The sequence below is a fragment of the Homo sapiens genome, chromosome 22 (genome assembly GCF_000001405.40).
Source record: "Homo sapiens chromosome 22, GRCh38.p14 Primary Assembly".
In the NCBI taxonomy this organism is placed as follows: domain Eukaryota; kingdom Metazoa; phylum Chordata; class Mammalia; order Primates; family Hominidae; genus Homo; species Homo sapiens.
The window spans coordinates 17,328,296-17,353,193 of NC_000022.11; the positions used below are offsets into that span (position 1 = coordinate 17,328,296).

The 24,898-nt window shown below is 45.8% G+C and overlaps 1 pseudogene, besides 6 other annotated features; it reads right to left on the reverse strand.

Annotated features, from left to right (window-relative positions):
* Positions 2,228-2,405: a silencer, noted in NCBI's record as "fragment chr22:17811413-17811590 (GRCh37/hg19 assembly coordinates)". NCBI's record gives its function as "represses an EF-1alpha promoter that drives an FKBP-Casp9 reporter gene in an ReSE screen in K562 erythroleukemia cells {active_cell/tissue: K562}" and the evidence as "EXISTENCE:reporter gene assay evidence [ECO:0000049][PMID:32094911]".
* Positions 3,445-3,945: an enhancer, noted in NCBI's record as "H3K4me1 hESC enhancer chr22:17812630-17813130 (GRCh37/hg19 assembly coordinates)". NCBI's record gives its function as "activates a minimal SCP1, AML or CMV promoter by ChIP-STARR-seq in naive H9 embryonic stem cells {active_cell/tissue: H9 hESC(naive)}" and the evidence as "EXISTENCE:reporter gene assay evidence [ECO:0000049][PMID:30033119]".
* Positions 3,946-4,446: an enhancer, noted in NCBI's record as "H3K4me1 hESC enhancer chr22:17813131-17813631 (GRCh37/hg19 assembly coordinates)". NCBI's record gives its function as "activates a minimal SCP1, AML or CMV promoter by ChIP-STARR-seq in naive H9 embryonic stem cells {active_cell/tissue: H9 hESC(naive)}" and the evidence as "EXISTENCE:reporter gene assay evidence [ECO:0000049][PMID:30033119]".
* Positions 10,078-10,247: an enhancer, noted in NCBI's record as "experimental_62420 CRE fragment used in MPRA reporter constructs". NCBI's record gives its function as "activates a minimal promoter by MPRAs in K562 erythroleukemia cells, with activity observed for both the introgressed and non-introgressed 22:17819348 variant alleles {active_cell/tissue: K562}" and the evidence as "EXISTENCE:reporter gene assay evidence [ECO:0000049][PMID:34662402]".
* Positions 12,835-13,079: a silencer, noted in NCBI's record as "fragment chr22:17822020-17822264 (GRCh37/hg19 assembly coordinates)". NCBI's record gives its function as "represses an EF-1alpha promoter that drives an FKBP-Casp9 reporter gene in an ReSE screen in HepG2 liver carcinoma cells and K562 erythroleukemia cells {active_cell/tissue: HepG2 | K562}" and the evidence as "EXISTENCE:reporter gene assay evidence [ECO:0000049][PMID:32094911]".
* Positions 18,764-19,058: an enhancer, noted in NCBI's record as "tiled region #13223; K562 Activating DNase matched - State 9:DNaseU". NCBI's record gives its function as "activates a minimal TATA promoter and a strong SV40 promoter by Sharpr-MPRA in K562 cells {active_cell/tissue: K562}" and the evidence as "EXISTENCE:reporter gene assay evidence [ECO:0000049][PMID:27701403]".
* RN7SL843P (RNA, 7SL, cytoplasmic 843, pseudogene) lies at positions 24,586-24,882 on the reverse strand (annotated as a pseudogene).

Here is a 24,898-nt window from a genome sequence, read left to right on the forward strand (position 1 = left end):
TTGCTGTGAACTTAAAACTGTTTTTAAAAAATAAAGTCTGAAAAATAACTGCTCCAAAAAAATAAAGTCTATTTTAAAAAAATGTAGGAGACATGACAAGATATGCCAGGAAAAATCCATAAAGCCAAGGACAATCGTGAGCAAGCAATACAGATTTGAAAAACAGTCCCTGAACTTAATTAGGGCCCAGGCATACACCAAAGACCTAGGTAGAAAACAGTCTGAGGAAGGACCAGGTTGTCTTTGGGGGAGCTGGCAGAGATACAGTATGCATGGTGTCAACATAGCTGACATATAATTTCAGACTATGTTAAAGATCCATAGAGCCCAGATAAGGGTTTTCTGTTTTGTTTTGCTTTGTTTTGTTTGCTTGTGTTTGTTTTTGTTTTTCTGAGACAGAGTCTCACCCTGTTGCCCAGGCTGGAGTGAAGTGGCGGGATCTCGGCTCACTGCAACCTCCACCTCCTGGGTTCAAGTGATTCTCCTGCCTCAGTCTCCCGAGTAGCTGGGATTACAGGCACAGACCACCACGCCTGGCTAATTTTTGCATTTTTAGTAGAGATGAGGTTTCACCGTTTTGGCCAGGGTGGTCTCAAACTCCTGACCTTGTGATCCACCTGCCTTGGCCTCCCAAAGTGCTGGGATTACAGGCGTGAGCCACCTCGCCCAGCCCAGATAAGGTTTTATGTTTTTATGACTTCTGCCTTCCCTGGACCTCATATCTAATTTCTCTAACAGCTTCATCAACTTCATTCCTGAGTCATACTTACTTAATAAACAAGACAAGATCAACAACAAGAAAGGTGGAAGAACACAGCTGGTTTACCTGCACAGGAGCTAAATACTTTGCAATTCCATTGGCTGAGCGCAACACCAAGAGGCTGACTAAGAGGAGCACACATGCACAACTGCTGCGTGGGAAACAGGATGGCAGCGAGTGGGTTGTCCCTAGAAGCTCAGCTTCAAGCAATGTTCTGTACCACTGAGTAACAGCAGCCGCTGACAAACCTGCTCAGCCTGTTGACACACTTCAGGGTAGCTCTGTCCAGTGCAGGGCAGATGGCTGTGTACAAATAACTAGCAACGTGATGCAAGCTTCCCATGGTGAAATCAAAACACCAAAGGGTAGCCAGTCTTGACTTGTTCCTACCCTTCAAAAAATGGTCAAGCTTCTGGGTGGTACTTAGTGACTCTGAATATGCAGGACACACAGAGATAACCAGAGAGATGCTCACCTAGCAGAGGAGACACCATGATCACCTAATCAGGGAGTACACAGGGACAGCTAATAGACGCAAAACCCTTCCTTCATGTTTGAAATTCAAATTTATAGAAGGCTTAAATATAATACATGCTTATATATAAAAATTTAAAAAGTAGCTGGGCACAGTGGCTCACACCTGTAATCCCAGCCCTTTGGGAGGCCAAGGCGGATGGATCACCTGAGGTCAGGAGTTCGAGACCAGCCTGGCCAACATGGTGAAGCCCCTTCTCTACTAAAAATACAAAAATTAGCCGGGCGTGATGGTAGGCGCCTGTAATCCCAGCTACTCAGGAGGCTGAAGCAGGATAATCTCTTGAACCCGGGAGGCGGAGGTTGCAGTGAGCCAAGATCATGCCATCGCACTCCAGCCTGAGGGACAAGAGGGAGACTTCGTCTCAAAAAGAAAAAAAAAAGAAAAGAAAAGTAGAAAATTGAAAAATAATAAAAGGAGTTGTTATTTTAATTAAGTTTAAAATAATATTTCCCTGTTGTAAAAGTTATTCATGCTTATTGTGAATAATTTGGAAAATAAAAAGTGTAACTCAGGAAGCTAAGGCAGGAGAATCGCTTGCACCAGGGAGGTGGAGGTTGCAGTGAGCCAAGATCGCACCACAGCACTCCAGCCTGGGCGACAGAGTGAGATTCTGTCTCAAAAAAATAAAAAGAAAATAAAAAGTGTAAATACAATACATTTTCAGTGCTGATTATTCTCATCAAAACAATTTATTGCAGTACTTCTTTACATGTTAGCATCTGCTTTTCTCAAATGTTTAAATTCATACAATGATTTAACTCGTACAATTCTTTCAAACTTCTTTTTTTGTATGTATGTAAGGTACCTTAAACAAAAAGACCAGGCATGGTGGCTCATACCTGTAATCCCAGCACAGTTTGAGGCTGGAGAATTGCTTGAGCCCAGGAGTTTGAGACCAGCCTGGGCAGAAGAAAAAGAAAATAAAAAGTGTAAATTGGGAGGCCGAGGCAGGCAGATCACGAGGCCAGGAGATCGAGACCATCCTGGCTAACACGGTGAAACCCCGTCTCTACTAAAAATACAAAAAAATTAGCCGGGCATGGTGGCGGCACCTGTAGTCCCAGCTACTCGGGAGGCTGAGGCAGGAGAATGGCGTGAACCCGGGAGGCGGAGCTTGCAGTGAACGGAGATCCCACCACTGCACTCCAGCCTGGGCGACAGAGCAAGACTCTGTCTCAAAAAAAAAAAAAAAAAAAGTGTAAGTACAATACATTTTCAGTGGTGATTCTTCTCATCAAAACAATTCATTGCAGCACTTCTTTACATGTTAACATCTGTTTTACATAGCAAAACCACCATCTGTATTTATATATATTTTTTAAAATTAGCCAGGCGTGGTGGCTCACGCCTGTAATCCCAGCACTTTGAGATGCTGAGTGGGGAGGATCCCTTGAGCTCAGGAGTTTAAGACCAGCCTGAGCAACATAGTGAGACTCTGTCTCTACAAAAAATAATAATAATAATTTAAAAATTAACCGGGTGTGCTGGCACATGCCTGTAGTCCCAGCTACTCAGGAGCCTGAAGCTGGAGGATCACTGGAGCCCATGAGGTTGAGGTTGGCGTTGTGCCACCACTGCACTCCAGCCTGGGCAACAGAGCAAGATTCTGTTCAAAAAAATAATAATAATAGGCCAGGCACGGTGGCTGACGCCTGTAAGCTCAGCGCTTTTTTTTTTAAATAATGTTTTTCTTTACTTTATTATTTATTTTATTTATTTTTGAGACAGAGTCTCGCTCTGTTGCCCAGGCTGGAGTGCAGTGGTGCGATCTCCGCTCAGTGCAACCTCCGCCTCCAGAAGCCCAGCACTTTGGGAGACCAAGGTGAGTGGATCACTTGAGGTCAAGAGTTCGAGACCAGCCTGGCCAACAGAGTGAAACCCTGTCTCTACTAAAAATACAAAAATTAGCCGGGTGTGGTGGTGCACACCTGTAATCCCAGTTACTCAGGAGGCTGAGGCAAAGAATCACTTGAACTGGGGAGGTGGAAGTTGTAGTGAGTCGAGATTGTGCCACTGCACTCCAGCCTGAGATTGTGCCACTACACTCCAGCCTGGGCAACAGAGTGAGATTCTGTCTCAAAAAAAAAAAAAAAAAATGAAAATAATGAAAACAAAAAAGAGGCAAATTATAAATTAAATAAACTACTAAATAGGCCAGGCGCGGTGGCTCATGCCCGTAATTCCAGCACTTTGGGAGGCCAAGGGGGGCGGATCACCTGAGGTCAGGAGTTGGAGACCTGCCTGGCCAACATGATGAAACCCAGTCTCTACTAAAAATACGAAAATTAGACAGGCGTGGCGGTGCCAGTGAACAGAGATTGCGCCACTGCACTCCAACCTGGGCAACAGAGACTGTCTCAAAAAACAAAAGCAAAATAAACAAACAAACAAAAAGTCAGGAATAGTATATAAAGTGCCAGTATTGTTAGTTTTGGCTTAAACATAATACTAACTTCCAAATTCTCTCTCCTTGGCCAAATAAATCGAATAAAACTGGGCTAAAGGAATGAATTTGCCAATGCAACAAAGATGACTGCCATTCTGCCCTGCCTCCGGAATCATGAAAGGGGTGGTCTTCTGACGTCCTCCCTTTTCACAGGGGCCTGCAGAGGGAGGCAGCCGCTGTTGGGAGGTCACAGAGCGTCTGCAGCTGACTGGGAAGCCCTCCTAACTGGCGCACCTGAGGGGCTGGGTGCCCGTCTGCTGCTTCTGGCTGCCCTGGCCCGCAGTAGTAGTAAGTCTCCTCCTCACCTCCCTCTGGCCCAAGCATGGAAAACACCAAGTCTTCCTGTCTCCTGAACACAGTTGGGACTAGTGGGAATGTACCAAAGGAACTTTCCTAAAAGTTAAGGAAAGCCAAAAAGAAAATAAACAAGAGAAATAAAAATCACAGAGGCGACAGGCGGTGTCCAGGTTTCTGAGCTTACAATAGCTCACTCGCGAGCCACTCCATTTCTAGTTTGCTGGGCCCCTCCCAGGAAACCCTCCTTTACAACGCAGGGCTGTTCCCCACAGAGGCGGGACTGGGTGAGGCCCACTCTCCTGGCTATTCTTAAGAAAGCCATGAGCCACAAAAGGCTGATGGCTCACAGACTTCATCTCCTGAGGCCCCTAAGCATCTTCTTTAACCGCCCATCTCTAGGATGGAGGACGATTTTTCTGCGTAGTGTCTCCTGGAGAGGGTTCCCATGCTCCAATCTCTGTGAGAGGGACAGGAATGAAAAGCGCCCAGGCCTGGCCCTAGTCTGAATCCAGGCTTTGATGCCTCCTGGCTGGGGACTTTTTCTTATTCAACCACTTTATTTTATTTTATTATTTTTGAGACAGGATCTTGCTCTGTCGCCCAGGCTAGAGTGCAGTGGCGCAATCTCAACTCACTGCAAACTCCATCTCCCCAGTTCAAGCGATTCTCCTGCTTCAGCCTCCTGATTAGCTGGGATTACAGGCGCCCGCCACCATGCCCAGCTGTTTTTTGTATTTTTAGTAGAGACAGGGTTTCACCATGTTGGCCAGGCTGGTCTCAAACTCCTGACCTCAAGTGATCTGCCCGCCTCAGCCTCCCAATAAACCACTTTATTATTCACAAACCATATAATTCACCCATATAAAGTATAAAATTACATGGTTTTTAGTATATTCAGAGTTGTGCGACCATCACCACAATCCATTTTATAACATTTTCCTCTTCCCTAGAAAAGAATCCCATACCTGTTAATGTCACTCCCGCTTTCCCCAAACCTCCCCAACTAGTTCCCTCAGCCCCCACCCTAGGGGCTTTTGTCGCTATAGACTTGCCAATGCTGCTGGCTACGTATGCTTGAAAAACCTCTTTGGTTCTCAATTTCTTCCTATGTAAAAAGGAGCTAGCCTTTTTACATAGCCCCTCCCCACATATGCAGCCCATGGGAGACAGTCTATAGAAATTAGTTCTCCGGCCCGGCGCGGTGGCTCACGCCTGTAATCCCAGCACTTTGGGAGCCCGAGACGGGTGGATGACAAGGTCAGGAGTTCGAGACCAGCCTGGCCAAGGTGGTGAAACCCTGTCTCTACTAAAAATACAAAAATTAGCCAGGCATGGTGGCACGCGCCTGTAGTCCCAGCTATTCGGGAGGCTGGGGCGGGAGAATCGCTTGAACCCAGGAGGTGGAGGTTGCAGTGAGCTGAGATCGCACCTTGCACTCCAGCCTCGTCAACAGAGCAAAACTCCATCTAAAAAACAACAAAAAAAAATTAGTTCTCATTATATACCACGTGCTATATACCCACAAAAATTAAAAATTTAAAATGAGTTAAATGAGTTCTCTCCTTCCCTTTCTTCAGGGCCTTAGCACATTGAAGTTTGTTTGTTTTGGTTTTATGTTGTTTTGCCTTAATTACACCTGTGCTGAAGCAGAGGCCTTATCGCCTGTATTTTATAAGAATAGGGCTCATGTCACTGAGGTAAAGACCACCCATTTTCCTCCTCTGGGCCCAGGGTATGAGCAAGCTTCTCAGCACCAAGCGCACCAGCAATAACAATAATCCCTGTCCTTTGTTGAGAGCTCACTGTGTGCTAAGCATTGCTCCAGGTGTTGTGTATGTAATAATTAATAATCCTCACCAACCCCATGAGACAAGTTGCTGCTGCTATTCCTGTTCTATAGATGAGGAACTGGAAGTGTTCAGGATGAAGTAATCGGCCTCAGTTACACAGCTAGCAGGAGCGCTGGAGCCAAGCTACAACCCAGGCAGGCTGCTCAGAGCCTGCACGAATGACTGGGCCACCTGTGCCTCTCCAGTGCAAACCCCCCGTTTGTCATCAACAACAGGAGGGACTGACTGGAGGTCCGCTGCAGCTCAGAGAGTTTGTCCATTTCTGGGCTATTATTGATTAACCTGTTTATATTCCACCGTATCAGAGCCTGGATCACCTGGAAGGCATTCCTTTCTAGACGCAGCAATGCAGGAGAGTCGGCGACTTCAGGGACTGAGGCTGGAGGTCTGCAAAAGCAGATCAGGAGGTGTGGAGGCATTTGTTTCTATATCATATCACCAACCGCAATACCACTCTAGGATGGAAAGACTCTGTATTTCCAAACAGTGTGCAACTGGGCCGAGCTGGTGGCAAAATCTTACCTTAGTGAAATGTCTATGTTACTTATCAAGCTCATTTCCTGGGATCACATCATGCCCTCCACTTACCTTAATATTGAGAACGCTTAATCGTTCATTTCAATTATTTATGTCTCCCCCCGATTCTCTAGGCTATATGGGGACAATGTCTTACCAGATACATCTCTAGATTACTTAAGTTAATACTGGTAGGCCAGATGCTGTGGCTCACACCTGTAATCCCAGCACTTTGGGAGGCCGAGGCGGGCGAATTGCTTGAGCTCAGAAGTTCCAGACCAGCCTGGGGAACATGTGGAAATCCTGTCTCTACTAATATATATATATATATTAGCTGGATGTGGTGGCACACGCCTGTAATCCCAGCTACTTGGAAGGCTGAGGCAGGAGAGTCGCTTGAACCCAGGTCAGGGAGTGGTGGGGGGTGCGGCATCGAGGTTGCAGTGAGCTGAGATCATGCCACTGCACTTCAGCCTGGGTGACAGAGCGAGGCTCTGTCTCAAAAGCAAACAAACAAACAAAAAAGAAAGTTTGCTCCAGGTCAGCTCTGGGTATAAACAGGAGGAACCCAGTTTGAATAGGAAATAATATCTAACAGATACTCTTACTAACTTCTATTCTCTTATTAGTCAACTAATTTTTTTTTTTTTTTGAGACAGGGTCTGATTCTGTCGCCCAGCTTGGAGTGCAGTCGTGCAATCTCGGTTCACTGCAATCTCCTGGGCTTAGCCAGTGATCCTCCCACCTCAGCTTCCTGAGTAGCTGGAACTACAGGCGTCCACCACTGCACCTGGCCAGATGGTCAACTCATTTTTAAGAAGGACTGCTTGTTGGCTGGGCACGGTGGCTCACGCCTGTAATCCCAGCACTTTGGGACGGTGAGGCAGGTGGATAACCTGAGGTCAGGAGTTTGAGACCAGCCTGGTCAACATGGTAAAACCCCGTCTCTACTAAAAAATACAAAAATTAGCTGGGCGTGGCAGGCGACTTAATCCTAGCTACTTGGGAGGCAGAGGCAGGAGAATCGTTTGAACCCGGGAGGCAGAGGTTTCAGTGAACCAAGATTGAGCAATTGCACTCAAACCTGGGGGACAAGAGCGAGACTTCTCTTAAAAAAAAAAAAAAAAAGAAGGACTGCTTGTTAAACTATCAATGTAGTGTCTACATTTTTACTTCATTCTGAAAAATTCAGTATAATTTTCAAATTTTTCCACTAGAAATATTTTGAGAACACATACATACAATTTTTTTTTCATTTGGGTGTGTATACATTCCCAAAATATTATAATTGGAATGTTTCTAGACTTTTTGAGGACCTTTCAGAGCAGCAAAGAACCAAAAAAAAAAAAAAAAAAACTAAACCTGTATCATTTAAATTGATTATATTAACACGGCAACTCAAGGTTTTTCACCTTGAACTGACTATAATCTTATTATTTTACAGCGTCTGTGAATCTTGGTATTAGCATAGAGAAAACATTTTTTTTTGGCAAACACAGAAAGGGGAACCTTTAAAGAGACAGACTTGCTCATTTTACAGATGAGGAAATCGAGATGCAGAAAGTGAACTGATTTGCTTAAGGTCCCTTGCTTAGTAAATAACAAACGGGGAACTAGAACTCAGCATTTCTGATTCCTGATTCTTCAACTTTCCCATAATACCTATTGCCTTGTCAACGGAAAAATGATTTTCCATTTGTATTAAGTAATCTTCTAGTATTTATTTATTTATTTATTTATTTAATTTTTGAGACAGAGTCTCTCTCTGTCACCCAGGCTGGAGTGCAGTGGCACGATGTCAGCTCACTACAACCTCCGCCTCCTGGGTTCAAGTGATTCTCCTGCCTCAGCCTCCTGAGTAGCTGGGATTACAGGCACGTGCCGCCACGCCCAGCTAATTTTTGTATTTTTAGTAGAGACCGGGTTTCACCATGCTGGTTGGGCTGGTCTTGAACTCCTGACCTCAAGCAATCCACCCTCCTCGATCTCCCAAAGTGCTGGGGTTACAGGCATGAGACACGGCACTTGGCCTTTGTTTATTTATTTACTTTTTTTTTTTTTTTAGACAAGGTCTCGCTCTGTTGCTCAGGCTGGAGTGCAGTGGCGTGATCATAGCTCACTGCAGCCTCAATCCCCTGGGCTCAAGCAATTCTCCCACCTTAGCCTCCCTAGTACTGAGGACCACAGGCGTGCATCACTATGCCCAGCTATTTAAAAGAGAAGTTTTGCAGAAACACTGTCCTGCTATGTTGCCCAGAGTGGTTTCAAACTCCTGGGCTCAAACAATCCTCCTGCCTCGGCCTCCCAAAGTGCTGAGATTACAGGTGTGAGCCACTGCGCCTGGTTCTAGTTTACTTTAAATGGTTAACCATCTGAGGCAAGGCATCTGTTTGGAATCACTCCACCTTTACCCCTTCCTTTGGCAGAAATTGTGAATTATCTTCCAACATCCATCCTCTCCTTCTTCCCTCAGAATAGAAGCCCTGATTTTCAACTGGGCATGAAACTGCTCCTTCTCCTTCCTGCTAATGGGACACAAGGGCTGATGGCATCGGGAGGTAGAAACTGTGTGTTGAGGACAGTAGAGCAGTAGGGCTCTTAGAAGGAGCCTGGCCTCTCCCTACTGTAGAGCTCCACACCTGTCTTCCTTGGTGACAACACATTTTATATTGTTTAAGTAACTTCTGCTGTTGTTGTTACCTGTAGCCAAGTTAATCCTGAACCTGGCAAGTGCTCCATCCCTCCACCCTTGTGTCTGTCTCTGCTCACAAAAGCGGTTTCCAGAGCTGTGCCTAGGTCCCATCTCTAGCAGCCTGGTCCCTCTCTGGCAGGGTCTTCTGACTTTCTGTCCTCTCTGCCTTTGTCATAGAATAGTACATTGTTGAGCTGGTTATTCTCTGGCCCTTGCCATCCTTTCTCTGCCTCTTCTCCATCGCAACAGACTGATCCCTGCGGACCTATCACTCGGGCTCCCTTGCCAGTTGGCTGGGTGCTAAGTGGCTGGGCCACTTGGAGGGACCACTGAGGGCTCAGAAGGCAGGAGGAGAGAGGGATGGGATGTTTCCTGCTCTGCTGTGTTCCTGGTATTTAGCTCTGGCACTGACTACATTTCTCCATGACTCTCGCACTGGCAGGGCAGTCCCTTCTCCTATCTCTCTCTAGGGTGCCATTCACACTGTCCGCACCCGTGCCCCTTCAGGCCTGGCGGTGACAGTGGCTCCGTGTCTTTTCTGGTTCCTGAGTGCCTCAACATCCCACATCGGTTCCTTTAACCTTGCTCCCCCGCTGTAAAAAGTCCTTCGTTTCCTTCTCCTCTGAATTCCATCGGAGTGTGCCTCTGTATCTTGCTGGACCGTGACTAATAAAATTACAGCATAGTTGTTCGCTTACTTCTGTCTCCCTTCCTGGAGTATAAGTTTCCTGAAGGTAACAAACATTGCCTTTTTTCTTGTTTGTTTTTTGCAGCTTATAGCATCATAGCATAATTTTTGACCCAGGAGTATTTGTTGAAGAATGAATACATGTAAATTAATAAATGTAATAAACCAACAAGGTATTTCTTTTAGCCAGGTGTGGTGACATGCACCTGTAGTCCCAGCTACTCAGGAGGCTGAGGAGGAAGGATTGCTTGAGCCTGTGAGTTCAAGACCAGCCTGAGCAGCATAGCGGGATCTGATCTCAGAAAAAACAAAAAGATATTTCTCTTCAGTATGCTTTCATAGTTTAGATTTTTATTTTAAGTATTCTATATTCTATTGGGAATCAGTAATACATCTTCCTTTCACCTCTAGCCAATAGCAACCCAGATCACCTTCCTGAAGCAAACACGCCAGCAATGTTATTTTAACAAAATCCATCCATATAAAACCAATGTTTGTCTTCCTCGGATCTTTACATTTGGATATTACTAATTTAATACACCTTTTAATTTCTAAAGAGACTAGAGGAAATCATATGAGTTCCTTGATTAAGTTAAATTTGAAACTTTCAAAATATATTACAAGCTCAGAGAATTTTAAAGTACACTAGAAAATCTTATTAAAAAATAAAAAATGAGTTGGGCACTGTGGCACACACCTGTAGCCCCAGCTACTCAGCAGGCTGACATGAGAGGAACTCTTGAGGGGAGGAGTTCAAGTCTGCAGTGAGCTATGATCACTCCTGTGAATAGCCACTGCTGTCCAACCTGGGCGACATAGAGAGACCCTGTGTCTAAAAACAAAAACTAAATTAACATAGTCTCTAAAAGGTTTTTTGCAGGAGTCCTCGGGAGTGTGGCGTATGGAAGAGCTTCAGTAGTCTTCACTCCTACTGCTGGGGAATCCCATTCTGTCTCCTGGAGGCAAGGGAACCTGGGTCAGAACCTGATCTGTGCACTTTCTCTGGTCTAAAACTTAAGAGGTGTTTTTGACTAATTTCCTCTCCTGCAGCCTGTATGGCCAAGCCAGGTTCCTGATGCTATCTTTGCAGCTTCTCATCACCCATTGCTCTGACTTCCCACTGGTGCAAAGCTAATCTTTGCCCTCGTTACCTCATTCCTGGCTTTTGCAAGTATCCTAAAATAGCTTCACTGCTTTCAATATGTCTCTCTTAAGTCCTTCCTGGCCCTAGGCAACCTACCCGAGCTGTTTCCCAATCTTCTCTAACAAACATTCTCCACTGAAGATAGCCTTGTTTAGTCCACCCCACAAGCACGCCTGCCCAATCCTGTCTCTGCCTGTCCCTTTGTTGATGTTGTTCCCCATATCTGAAATGCCTTTCCGCCTCCTCTCCTGGCTATCCGGACCTCACCTCTAGTTTAAGTTCAGCTCAGATTTCACCTTCACCATGAGCTTTCCTCCAGCAACTCTAAGCCACGGTCATTGCTCCCTTTCGGTATCCCATAGCACTTACTTATAGAATCAAAGAGCTGAGAGGAATCTCAGTAGGCAATAAAATCAAAACATTGATTTTACCAAATGAGATTAAGCGATCTCTCCAAGGTTACCTTGTTCGGGTAGCAAGTGATAAGCAGGAACCAAGCCTCCCAGCTCCTGGTCCAGTGTTCTGTCACAGACATTATGCCATCTCTCCTCCACTTGCCTTTACATTTCACAGGAATTTGCTTGTATTATTTACATTCATTCCATGGAACAAAGTTGTATCTCCCTATACAATAGATTGAAAGCCTCTCTTGAGATTAAAAACCATGCCTTTTACTTCTTTAATATTCTCACAGCAAATATTACACACTCAAAAAATCTTTGTTGTATTAATTTTTTAAAAAATTTTGGAGGCCGGGCACAGTGGTTCACATCTGTAGTCCCAGCACTTTGGGAGTCTGAGGTGGGAGGGTTGCTTGAGCCCAGGAGTTCAAACCCACCCTGGGCAACATAGTGAGATCCCATCTCTAAAATAAATAAATAAATAAACAAAATTAGCTAGGTGTGATGGCACACACCTCTAGTCCCAGCTACTCAGGAGGTAGAAGTGGGAGAATCACTTGAGCCCAAGAGGTTACGGCTTCAGTGAGCTGTGATTGTGCCACTGCACTCCAGCCTGGGCAACAGAGTGAGAGGTTGTCTCAAAAAAAAAAAAAAAAAAAAAAAAAAAGGCCGGGCCTGGTGGCTCACGCCTGTGATCCCAGCACTTTGGGAGGCTGAGGCGGGTGGATCATGAGGTCAGGAGTTCGAGACCAGCCTGACCAACATAGTGAAACCCCGTCTCTACTAAAAATACAAAAATTAGCTGGGCATGGTGGCACGCACCTGTAATCCCAGCTACTCAGGAGGCTGAGGCAGGAGAATCGCTTGAACCTGGGAGGCGGAGGTTGCAGTGAGCTGAGATTGCACCACTGCACTCCAGCCTGGGCTACAGAGCTAGACTCCGTCTCAAAAAAAAAAAAAAAAAGAAAGAAAAAAAGAACAAAAAAGAAAAAAATAAATGAATAAAAATTTTAAAAAATATGTTGAGGCTGGGCACAGCGGCTCATCCTGCATGTGGGAAGATTACTTGAGGCCAGGAGTTCAAAACCAAGCAACATGGTGAGACCTCACCTCTACAAAAGAATGTTAAGACCGGGTGCAGTGGCTCATACCTATAATCCCAGGTCTCTGAGAGGCTGGGAGTCAGGAGGATCTCTTGAGCCCAGGAGTTCAAGACCAGCCTGGGCAACATGGCAAAACCCCATTTCTACATACCAAAAAAATACAAAAATTAGTTTCAGCTACTTAGGGGGCTGAGGTGGGAGAATCACTTGAGCCCAGGAGGTGGAGGCTGCAGTAAGCGGTGTTCATGCCACTGTACTCCAGCCTGGTCAACAAAGTGAGACCTGATTTTTTTTTTTTTTATGGAGTTTTGTTCTTGTCACCCAGGCTGGAGTGCAATGGCACAATCTTGGCTCACTGCAACCTCTGCCTCCCGGATTCAAGCGATTCTTCTGCCTCAGCCCCTGAGTAGCTGGGATTAAAGGTGCCCACCACCAAGCCCGGCTAATTTTTGTGTTTTTAATGGAGACAGGGTTTCACCTGTTGGCCAGCCTGGTCTTGAACACCTGACCTCAGGTGATCTGCCCGCCTCAGCCTCCCAAAGTGCTGGGATTTCAGGCATGAGTCACTGCACCTGGCTGAGAGACCCAGTCTGAAAGAAAGAAAGAAAGAAAGAAAGAAAGAAAGAAAGAAAGAAAGAAAGAAAGAAAGAAAGAAAGAAAGGAAGGAAGGAAGGAAGGAAGGAAGGAAGGAAGGAAGGAAGGAAGGAAGGATTTTAAAAATTATCCACGTGTGGTGATGACCGCCAGTAGTCCCAGCTAATTGGGAGGCTGAAACACAAGGATCCCTTAAGCTCAGGAATTAGAAGCTACAGTAAGCCACTGCACTCCACCCTGGACAATGTGACAGAGCAAGGCCCTATCTCTAAAATAAGTTTAATTTAATATTTAATTTAATTTGAAAATTAAAAAGTGTTGAGTCTTTTGACAGTTCTACAGTCTTGCACATGCTGAGCACATGGTAAATACTTCAGAAATGCTAGTTGCTTGATTAGCTGAGTGAAAGACAAACATACAGATGTTCCTTTCTGCATTCAGCTAAAGGCTATCATGCATCAGGCACCATTTAGGTGCGAGAAGTGCACAGATTATTACATGAGATTGCGCTCTGGTAGGAGGTGACACACAAAGTTTTAGGGAAGGTGAATATGCACACAGCACTGCCATGCAATAAAATAACTCTTCCAGAGGAGTACTGGGAGGGTGGCCCAAAGAGGTCTCCTTTGAGATGAATCTTTTTTTTTTTTTTGAGGTGGAGTCTTGCTCTGTCGCCAGGCTGGAGTTCAGTGGCTGGATCTCGGCTCACTGCAAACTTCGCCTCCTGGGTTCAAGCAATTCCCCTGCCTCAGCCTCCCCAGTAGCTGGGACTACAGGTGCGTGCCACCATGCCCAGCTAATTTTTTGTATTTTTACTAGAGACGGGGTTTCACCATGTTGGCCAGGATGGTCTCGATCTCCTGACCTCGTGATCCACCCACCTCAGCCTCCCAAAGTGCTGGGATTACAGGCGTGAGCCACCGGGCCCAGCCTGAGATGCATCTTGAAGGACAAGTACAATTTCCTCAAGTATGTGTAGGAAAAGAACTTCCGGAATCAGGGTCAGCAGACACACGGAGGTGGGAAAGTGTGTATTGTTCAGAGGAGAGTAGGGGCCTGGCCTATGTTTGTGTTGGAGAAGTTGAGGTGGAGGCAGGTAGGTGGGATCGAGTGCAGAGAATCTTGCATGCAGAGCTAAGGAGTTTGGAACTTATCCTGTAAGCAATGCAGAGACAGGAAATGTTTTCAAGCAGAGAAGTGACAGGATCAGATACTTGGAAACAGTGTGCAGGGTGGCCTGGAAAGAAGAGCCTGCAGGCAAGGACACCAGTCAGGACACAATTCCAGGCTTCCACCGAGGGAGGACAAGCAGCAGGCAGGGGCCAGGAGGGGCGGAGCAGAGACCATGGAGTGTAGATTTTTGTCTTCCAAATATAAAAGTTATACATGAGAGACATGTATAACGACGTACAACAGTGTTAATAGTAAGTACAACAATGTTAATGGTAACATATGTACGTAATGGTATTACATGCAGTTTTTCTTGTTTTGAATTTTTTATGTTTTTTTTTTTTTTTTTTTAGTTGTTGAGACAGGGTCTCCCTCTCTGTCTCTCAGGCTGGGGTGCAGTGGCTCAATCACAGCTCACTGCAATCTCAACTTCTTAGGCTCAAGTGATCCTCCTGCCTCAGCCTCCCGAGTCTCTAGGACCACAGGTGTTTGCCACTACACCCAGCTAATTTTTGTATGTTATGTAGTGATGGGGTTTCGCCATTTTGCCCAGGCTGGTCTCAAATTCCTGGCCTCATGTGATGCTCCCACATCGGCCTCCCAAAGTGCTGGGATTACAGGGATGAACCACTGTACCCGCTATGGCCTTAAAATCCGTTTTTTTTTTTTTTGAGACGGAGTCTCACTCTGTCACCACATAGGCTGGAGTGCTGTGGCACAATCTTGGCTCACAGCAAACTCTGCCGCCCAGGTTCAAATGATTCTCCTGCCGCAGCCTCCCTAGTAGCTGGGATTACAGGTGCTTAATTATTGTACTTTTAGTAGAGATGGGGTTTCACCGTCTTGGCCAGGCTGGTCTTGAACTCCTGATCTTGTGATCCACCCGCCTTGGCCTCCCAAAGTGCTGGGATTACAGGCGTGAGCCACCACGCCCGGCATTTTTTTTTTTTTTTTGAGACAGAGTCTAGCTCTGTTGCCCAGGCTGGAGTGCAGTGTTGAGATCTCAGCTCACTACAACTTCCACCTCCCAGGTTCAAGTGATTCTTCTGCCTCAGCCTCCCAAGTAGCTGGGATTACAGGTGCATTCAACCATGCCTAGCTAATTTTTGTATTTTTAGTAGAGACAGAGTTTCACCATGTTGGCCAGGCTGGTCTCAAACTCCTGACCTCAAGTGATCCACCCACCTTGGTCTCCCAAAGCGTTGAGATTCCAGGCGTGAGCCACCATGCCTGGCCATGGCCTTAAAATTATTTTGTAGAGGTGAGGTCTCCCTGTGATACCTGGTTTTGACCTCCTGGCCTCAAGCAATTCTCCCACCTTGGCCCTTGGCCTCCCCAAGTGCTGGGTATTACAGGCATGAGCCATTGTGCCCAGCCTCAACAATTTTTTTTATTCATTTCTTTTTTTATTTTTATTTTTCTTACTTCCTTTTTTTTTTTTTTTTGAGACAGCGCCTCACTTCACTGCCCAGGCTGGAGTGCAGTGGTGCAACTGCAGCTCACTGGAGCTTCGACCTCTTGGGCTCAAGCAATTTTCCCACCTTCACCTCCTGAGTAGCTGGGACTACAGGTGCACACCACCACACCTAGCTAATTTTTATTTTATTTTATTTTTTCAGACAGAGTCTCACTCTGTCACCAGGGCTGGAGTGCAGAGGTGCAATCTTGGGTCACTGCAACCACTGCCTTCTGGGTTCAAGCGATTTTTCCACATCAATCCCCTAAGTATGTGGGACTGCAGGCTCGCGCCACCACGCCTATCTAATTTTTGTATTTTTTGTAGAGACAGGGTTTCACCATGTTGGCCAGGGTGGTCTCAAACTCCTGGGCTCAAGCAGTGCACCCCCTCAGCCTCTCAAAGTGTTGGATTTACAGGCATGAACCCCTGAGCCCGGCTACTTTTTCTTTATGTGATGTGGATTTTTCTGTAGTTTTGTTTTACACATTGAGCATGTATTATATATTATTCTACTATATTATTCATTATATGACATACATTACTATGATTAGTAAAAGTGAATACTATTTTTAAAATAACACGTGGTCATTATGAGAGACTTCAGAAATACAGAAATGTATGAACAAGAAAAATTTTGAAATCACCCATAAAAATGCTCATGTCATTACATTAAGGGGAAAAGGATACAAAATTATATATATAATTTCATTTTCATTAAAAAATATTTATGTGGCCGGGCTGCGGTGGCTCAAGCCTGTAATCCCAGCACTTTGGGAGGCTGAGGCGGGCAGATTGCCTGAGGTCAGGAGTTCGAGACCAGCCTGGCTAACATGGTGAAACCCCATCTCTACTAAAAATACAAAAATTAGTCCAGGCGCGGTGGCTCACACCTGTAATCCTAACACTTTGGGAGGCCGAAGCAGGTGGGTCACCTGAGGTCAGGAGTTCGAGACCAGCCTGACTAACATGGAGAAACCCAGTCTCTACTAAAAATACGATATTAGCTGGGCGTAGTGGCGCATGCCTGTAATCCCAGCTACTCAGAAGGCTGAGGCAGGAGAATCGCTTGAACCCAGGAGGCGGAGGTGAGCTGAGATGGCGCCATTGCACTCCAGCCTGGGTAACAAGAGTGAAACTCCGTCTCAAAAAAGAAAAAAAATTCAAAAATTAGCCGGGCATAGTGGCACACACTTGTAGTCCTAGCTACTCAGGAGGCTGAGACAGGAGAATTGCTTCAACCTAGGAGGTGGAGGTTGCAGTAGCAGAGATCACGCCCCACTGCACCCTAGCATGGGTGACAGAGCAAGACTCCATCTCTAAAAAAAAAATTTATGTAAGGCAGGGCACGTTGGCTCACGCCTGTAATCCCAGCACTTCGGGAGGCCGAGGTGGGTGGATCACCTGAGGTCAGGAGTTCCAGACCAGCCTGACCAACATAGTGAAATGCCATCTCTACTAAAATTACAAAACTTAGCCGGGCATAGTGGCATGTGCCTGTAATCCCAGCTACTCACGAGGCAGAGACAGGAGAATCGCTTGAACCCAGGAGGTGGAGGTTGCAATGAGTCAAGATCGCGCCACTGCACTCCAGCCTGGGGGACAGAGCAAGACTCCGTCTCAAACAAACAAACAAACAAAATATATATATATCCTGACCCCAAGTGATCCACCCACCTTGGCCGCCCAAAGTGCTGGGATTACAGGCGTGAGCCACTGTGCCCAGCTGGCAATTTTGTTTTCTACAATACTGTGTTTTAGTTTATTTCTATATCTCTACAATTAGTATGTATTGTTTTTCCATTAAAATTTATCTTTTTCCATATAAAGGTAACACATAATCGTAATAGAATATTTGAGAAATGCACAAAAATAGAAAGAAGGTTGAGGAGGTGGCCATCGTTGTCATATAGCCCAAAGACAAACAATATTTTTACTATATTTCCTTAATAATAGTTACTTAAAAAAATTTACTGTGTGCCAGGAATACTTTGCTTATTTAATCCTCACAACACTATGAAGAAGTATTATTTTACCTATTTTAAAGATTAGTGCTCTGCCTTGCATAATTTTTTTTTTTTGGAGATGGAGTCTTGCTCCATCGCCCAAGCTAGGATGCAGTAGCGTGGTCTCTGCTACTGCAATTTCCACCTCCCAGGTTCAAGCAATTCTCCTGCCTCAGCCTCCTGAGTTGCTGGGACTAGAGGAGTGTGCCACTACGCCTGGCTAATTTTTGTATGTTTAGTAGAGACGGGGTTTCACCATGTTAGCCAGGCTGGTCTCGAACTCCTGACTGCAATCTGCCCACCTCAGCCTCCCAAAGTGCTGGGATTACAGGCTTGAGCCACCGTGCCCGGCCACACAAATATTTTTTAATAAAAATAAAATTATATATATAATTTTGTATTCTTTTCCCCTTAATGTAATGACATGAGCATTTTTATGGGTGATTTCAAAATTTTTCTTGTTTATACATTTCTGTATTTCTAAAGTCTCTCATATGAGACTGAAAAATCATAATTGTTTTTGGCAGAGCCAATTAGCACATTTAACATGACTTTTCTCCAGCGACAACAATGCAGCATCATCTCATCAGCCTCTTCCTGTAGGTGCTATTTTCCAGTGCTTTTCTGAAGCTTCTTTACATTCTCTACATGATACTGGCATGTGGCACCTTTATTCTGACAGCAGTGAAGGCCTGTTTAATGCAGGCTGAAAGGGTCATCTTCTAGTAGGCAAATATAAAATTGTGTAATCAAATCCCAAAAACCAATTACAGAAAAGTAGTTGAAGGAGATCTTGGCCTGACCATTTATTTATTTATTTATTTATTTATCTGAGTCAGAGTCTTGATCTATTGCCAAGGCTGACGTGCAATGGCACGATCTCAGCTCACTGCAACCTCCGCCTCCCCAGTTCAAGCAATTCTCCAGCTTCAGCGTCCTCAGTAGCTGGGATTACAGGTGCCCACCACCATGCCTGGCTAATTTTTGTATTCTTAGTAGAGTTTCACCATGTTGGCCAGGCTGGTCTTGACCTCCTGACCTCAAGTGATCCATTCGCCTCTGCCTCCCAAAGTGCTGGTTTGATTACAGGTGTGAGCTACCATGCCCAGCCAGCCTGACTGTTTATTTTTAAATTGGGGGGTTTCTGTTGTCTCTGGACTCAATATGAACCAATGGTGTGATGAGCTGCCAAAACCCTAATGCTAGCTTGGTTGTCTTAAGATAAACATGCTTATCAGCTCAAGGGAAGGAAGCAACACTGTCATACTGGGCGTTGGTGAAATAACTTTTGCTTTGTTTTGTTAGGTACAATCCCAAGAAGAACCTTGAGAAGGCTCAACAGGACTTTAAGAAGTCTTGGAATCGCGCCACTGCACTCCAGCCTGGTGGCAGAACAAGACTCCATCTCAAAAAAAAAAAAAAAAAAAAAAAAGAAGTCTTGGGCCAGGCTCCGTGGCTCATGCGTGTAATCCCAGCACTTTGGAAGGCTGAGGCAGGCGGATCACCTGAGGTCAGGAGTTTGAGACCAGCCTGGCCAACATAGTGAAACCCTGTCTCTACTAAAAATACAGAAATTAGTCGTGCGTGGTGGAACGCTCCTGTAGTCCCAGCTACTTGGGAGGCTGAGGCAGGAGAATCACTTGAACCTGGGAGGCGGAGGTTGCAGTGAGCCGAGATTGCGCCACTGCACTCCAGCCTGGGGGACAGAGCGAGACTCTGTCTCAACAACAACAACAACAACAACAAAAGTCTTGAATCCACGCTATGCGAGGAAGGAACGAGGGAAGGACCACAGCTCTGTCCTTAGTTCTTGGCCCCCCTCCCTTCCCATGTCCTCCCTGGGGAGCCTCCCGAAGGGCTTGCTACACCCTGCTGGCTCCCGCACCACGTCCACTGGGACCTCCCTGCTGGTCCTGTGCATCCGGCTGGTCATCAGCTCATCGTGCCTCAGGGTTACAACGTGTATACCTGCTTGCTTCAACTTTCTCTGAAGAGCCATAGTCTGGATTTCAGGCAGTGAGGTCATCCCTCGCCCAGTCACGCGAGTGTGGGATATGATGAGGTTTCTCTTCAAATAGCCCTATCAATCCTTTATTCTTTAATTCATATACCCTTAAACCCCTTTTTCCTTTCTCTCTTTTTTTCCTTTCTGCCTTTGTTACATGCCCAGACACGCCACAGTACCAGGCTTATCAGTACCAGCTCACATTCTTTCCTTATTTAAAAAAAAAGATGACCGGGCGCGGTGGCTCACGACTGTAATCCCAGCACTTTGGGAGGCCGAGGCGGGCGGATCACGAGGTCAGGAGATCGAGACTATCCTGGCTAAAACGGTGAAACCCCGTCTATACTAAAAATACAAAAAAATTAGCCGGGCGTGGTGGCGGGCGCCTGTAGTCCCGGCTACTCGGGAGGCTGAGGCAGGAGAATGGCGTGAACCCGGGAGGCGGAGCTTGCAGTGAGCCGAGATCGCGCCGCTGCTCTCCAGCCTGGGCGACAGAGCGAGACTCCGTCTCAAAAAATAAAAAAATAAAAAAATAAAAAAGACTAGCTCGCTAACTCATTACAGATACCCTTTCCCCTTTTCCCCTCTCTCCCTTACGTGTCCACCTTATCTAAAAAGAGTTCAAATGTCTAGCCAACCGGGATTAGTTCAGTTTGTGCGACCCGACCCTGGCCAATGGGGAAAGGGTACAGGGGCAGGACTTGGCATCAGGAATAAAGGCTCTCGTGCGCCTTTGTTCAGGTGTGCTCTCATGGTGACCGGCCAAGGAAAAGCACCCCTCTGCGCAAAAGTAAAATTGCTTTGCTAAGAATCCTTTGTTTGAGTGTTCAATCTCCTTAAGATTTTAAGTGTTATTCCCAACACAAGTAATCTAGGACACGTATTTCTCAAGCAGAACACACATCAGTCACCAAAGCCTGTAGGTTCTAGCTGCACAATATTGTCCTGACTCCTCCTTTTCTTCATGCCCTCTGCTGTTGCCTTCGGTTAGGACCTCACTGCTTCCTGCCTGAATTACTGACTTCAGCCTTTGTGACTTCAGTCTATTTTCTAACTCGTCTTTCTGACTACAACCTATTTGTTCCCTTTGCTTCTTCAAGCCATTCTCCATCATTGTGCCAATGTTCTAAACGTAAACAGTTTCTATCATTTTCTTGCTTAAACTCTTTCAGTGGCTTCTCCAAATGTGTCAGCATGAAGCTTTAACTGTGAGCTGAGCACAAAAGGACTTTCCTCACCTGAATCCTGTTTACATCTGTAGCCTCATTCTTCTTCCACAACCAACAAACATGCTTTGCCCCAGACACTCCGAGTGACGCGACTATTTTATGCCACTGCGCCTCTTAGCTTCCCCCTTGTCCACCCAAAGGACACATGTCCTTCAAGCTGCACTGAAGCATCTCCGTGTCCAGGAAGCGTCCTCTGGTGTCCTAGCTTAGTGTGGATGTTCTTTGTCCGTGCTCCCCATAACATATTGTGCCTACATGCAGATCTCTAATCTCTGATTTATTTGTTTGCCTTCCTCTCTAGACTTTAATTGCTGAACTGCATGGACCCTGGTTTACTGAACTTCGTAAATCTAAATCTACAGTTGGATACCGTGCGTGGCACAGAAAAGACCTTCAATAAATGATTTCTGGTTTCGTTTTGGTTTTGTTTTATTTACTGCTTACTACAACCAAGTACTGCTCTAGTTGCTGGATATGCAATAATGAACAATTCACACCTGGGTCCTGCTCTGAATAAATGAACAAATAAATATTAAATAAATGAAGTGGGAGTATTTACTTGCAGAAGAGAGAAATCTTAGAGTGGCACTGACTAGCGTCTTCAAGGGGCTATTATTACGTGGAAGAGAAAGTAATACTTTTTTTTTTTTTTGAGATGGAGTCTCATTCTGTCACCCAGGATGGAGTGCAGTGGCATGATTTCAGCTCACTGCAACCTCCACCTCCCAGGTTCAAGCAATTCTCCTGCTTCAGCCTCCCAAGTAGCTGGGATTATAGGTACCTGCCACCAAGCCTGGCTAATTTTTTTTTTTTTTTGAGATGGAATTTCACTCTTGTTGCCCAGGCTGGAGTGCAATGGCACAATCTTGGCTCACTGCAACCTCCCCCTCCCAAGTTCAAGCTATTCTCTTGCCTCAGCCTCCCAAGTAGCTGGTATTACAGGCACCCACCACCATACCTGGCTAATTTTTTGTATTTTCAGTAGAGAACGGGGTTTCACCATGTTGCCCAGACTGGTCTCGAACTCCTGACCTCAGGTGATTCACCCACATTGGCTTCCCAAAGTGTTGGGATTACAGGCGTGAGCCACTGCATCCGGCCAAGTAATACATTTTAATCTTGCTCTTCAATCATCAAGTTAAATTTACAGAAAGGCAGATTTCACTTCACTGTAAAAGAAGATTCTTTGAATAGTTAGAATTGACCAAAACTAGAGTCGTCTGCCTCCCGATGCAGTGACTCCCAATGCTGTAAATGGAAAGTGATCAAATGCAGGCTGACGTGTCCTCAGAGATGTCAGGAGGCATTCCTCAGTGGGTGGGAGGTTGACCCACATGCCCCTTAAGGCATCTCTGGACCATGAAATCACAATGCACTTTTGACTTTCATTCTTCTCAGGCTCCATCTTGCTAAACACCCTTTGCACAATGGGAGTCTTTATCTCACTAACACCTTAATTTCAAAGAGTTAATGCATATCATTTTTTTTCCTTTCCACTTAATTTTCCTTCATAACCTATCCCTATTATGCACCAGCATATCTGGAAACTCGTTTATCCTCTTTGCACCCCTATGCAGCCTCTCTGATGCTGTTCCCCTTGGCTCATCACTACCAATCCAAGCAGAGTCTTTCTCTCAGATGAAGACGATGAAAGAGCTGAAAAAACACAGCTGGATGTTTCACATCCTGGTTGGATTGACAGGGGTGCCAGCAGCTGGGAGTCACCCTTTCACGTCAACGGAGTCAATTAGATTGGGAAGCCAATGAGGAAGAAATTAATCTAGTATCCCACAGTATCATTTTTATAGTTACCATAGTTACCTTAAGACAGAGCAACCCAGAACAGCTACCCGCTTAATGCTTAAGTGACTACAACCTGCAGGTACAGGCTAGTTTATGCCAATGCTCCAGATACCAGTGCAGTGTCAAGCAGTCAACCAGCATAAGTTTGCTTTTTATTTGCTGGAGTTAATGAACTCTTGTATATCAAGAAAAAAAACAATAGGATGGGAGACCTGGAAATACCAAGTCCTTGCTTTTCCACACAAGAGGGCAAGAAACGCTTAGCGGTTGTACAGACCTTTTCCACTCACCCAGGCAATGAGCAAGTCCTAAGTCAGAGTAATAAAATAACACTTTTTCATTTATATACACTCTTTCTTTCTTTCTTTCTTTCTTTTTTTTTTTTGAGACAGCATCTCACTCTGTTGCCCAGGCTGGAATGCCCTCACCGCAACCTCCGCTTCCCACGCTCAAGCGATTCTCCTGCCCCAGCCTCCCCAGTAGCTGAGATTACAGGCACGTGCAAGTACTGCCCGGCTAATTCTTGTATTTCTAGTAGAGATGTGGTTTCACCACATTGGCCAGGCTGGTCTTGAACTCCTGACCTCAAATGATCCACCCGCCTTGGCCTCCCAAAGTGCTGGGATTCAGGTGTGAGCCACCGCACCCGGCCCCTTTTTTTTTTTTTTTTTTTTGAGATGGAGTCTTGCTCTGTCACCCAGGCTAGAGTGCAGTGGCATGATCTCGGCTCACTGCAACCTCCACCTCCCGGGTTCAAGCAATTCTCCTGCCTCAGCCTCCTGAGTAGCTGGGACTACAGGCACACGCCACTAAGCCCGGCTAATATATATATATATATTTTTTTTTTTTTTGAGATGGAGTCTCACTCTGTAGCCCAAGCTGGAGTGCAGTGGTGTGATCTCAGGTCACTGCAACCTCCACCTCCAGGGCTCACATGATTCTCATGCCTCAGCCTCCCGAGTAGCTGGGATTACAGCGCATGCCACCGTGCCCAGCTAATTTTTTGTATTTCTAGTAGAGACGTGGTTTCACCACGTTGGCCAGGCTGGTCTTGAACTCCTGACCTCAAATGATCCACCCACCTCGACCTCCCAAAGTGCTGGGATCATAGGCGTGAGCCACTGCCTGGCCTATATACAATCTTTCATTCTTCAACCACTGTTGACCAATCACTGACCATCCCCCCAGAACTCCCCCCACTTTGATGGTTCTGTCATCTCCATTTTGGCCTCAGTCCCAACCGCCAACAAGAAATGCTACTCTGGGCCGGACTTGGTGGCTTACACCTGTAATCCCAACACTTTGGGAGGCCGAGGCGGGTGGATCACGAGGTCAGGAGTTTGAGACCAGTCTGACTAACATGGTGAAACCCTGTCTCTACTGAAAATACAAAAATTAGCCAGGCATGGTGGTGTGCGCCTGTAATCCCAGCTACTCAGGAGGCTGAGAATGAGAGTCGCTTGAACCCAGGGGCAGAGGTTGCAGTGAGGCGAGATCACGCCACTGCACTCCAGTCTGGGTGACAAAGTGAGACTCCGTCTCAAAAAAAAAAAAAAAAGAAATGCTACTCTGTGCCATTTGTTATGAATTTTAAGGTGAAGACACTATTTTTTACACTTCACCATCCAGCCTTTAGCCAGGAAATTTGATTGCAGTTGAGTTTCAAATGGGCACATGAGATGCGCTCACAAGGCCAGGGGACTAATTTGGGGCCTGTAACTATTAGAGACATTTCCACAGTTCCCAACCTTTGCAATAGATTGTTTCTGGAGATTTGTCTTTTCTACCATTAATTAAGAAGCTTGCTAACTCCTGTTATTTAGTCTGGCAGGGATGGGCCATTAGATCAGAGTGTTTTTATTTTTATTTATTTATTTACTACTTTTTAGAGATGAGGTCTTGCTATGTTGCCCAGGCAGAGTGCAGTGGCTATTCACAGGCAGAATGCCATTGCTGATCAGCATAGGACCTTTGACTCTTCTGTTTCTGACCTGAACCCATTCACCCCTCGTTGGGCAACCTCCTGGTTCTCTGCTCCCAGGAGGTCACCATACTGATGTTGAACCTAGTGTGAATACCCAGTTGGCATAGTGAACTATAGCCCAGAACTCCCAAGCTAAACTGATCCTCCCGCCTCAGCCCCCCATGTAGCTGAGGCCGCAGGCATGTACTATCACACCTGGCTATGTTTTTTTTTTCC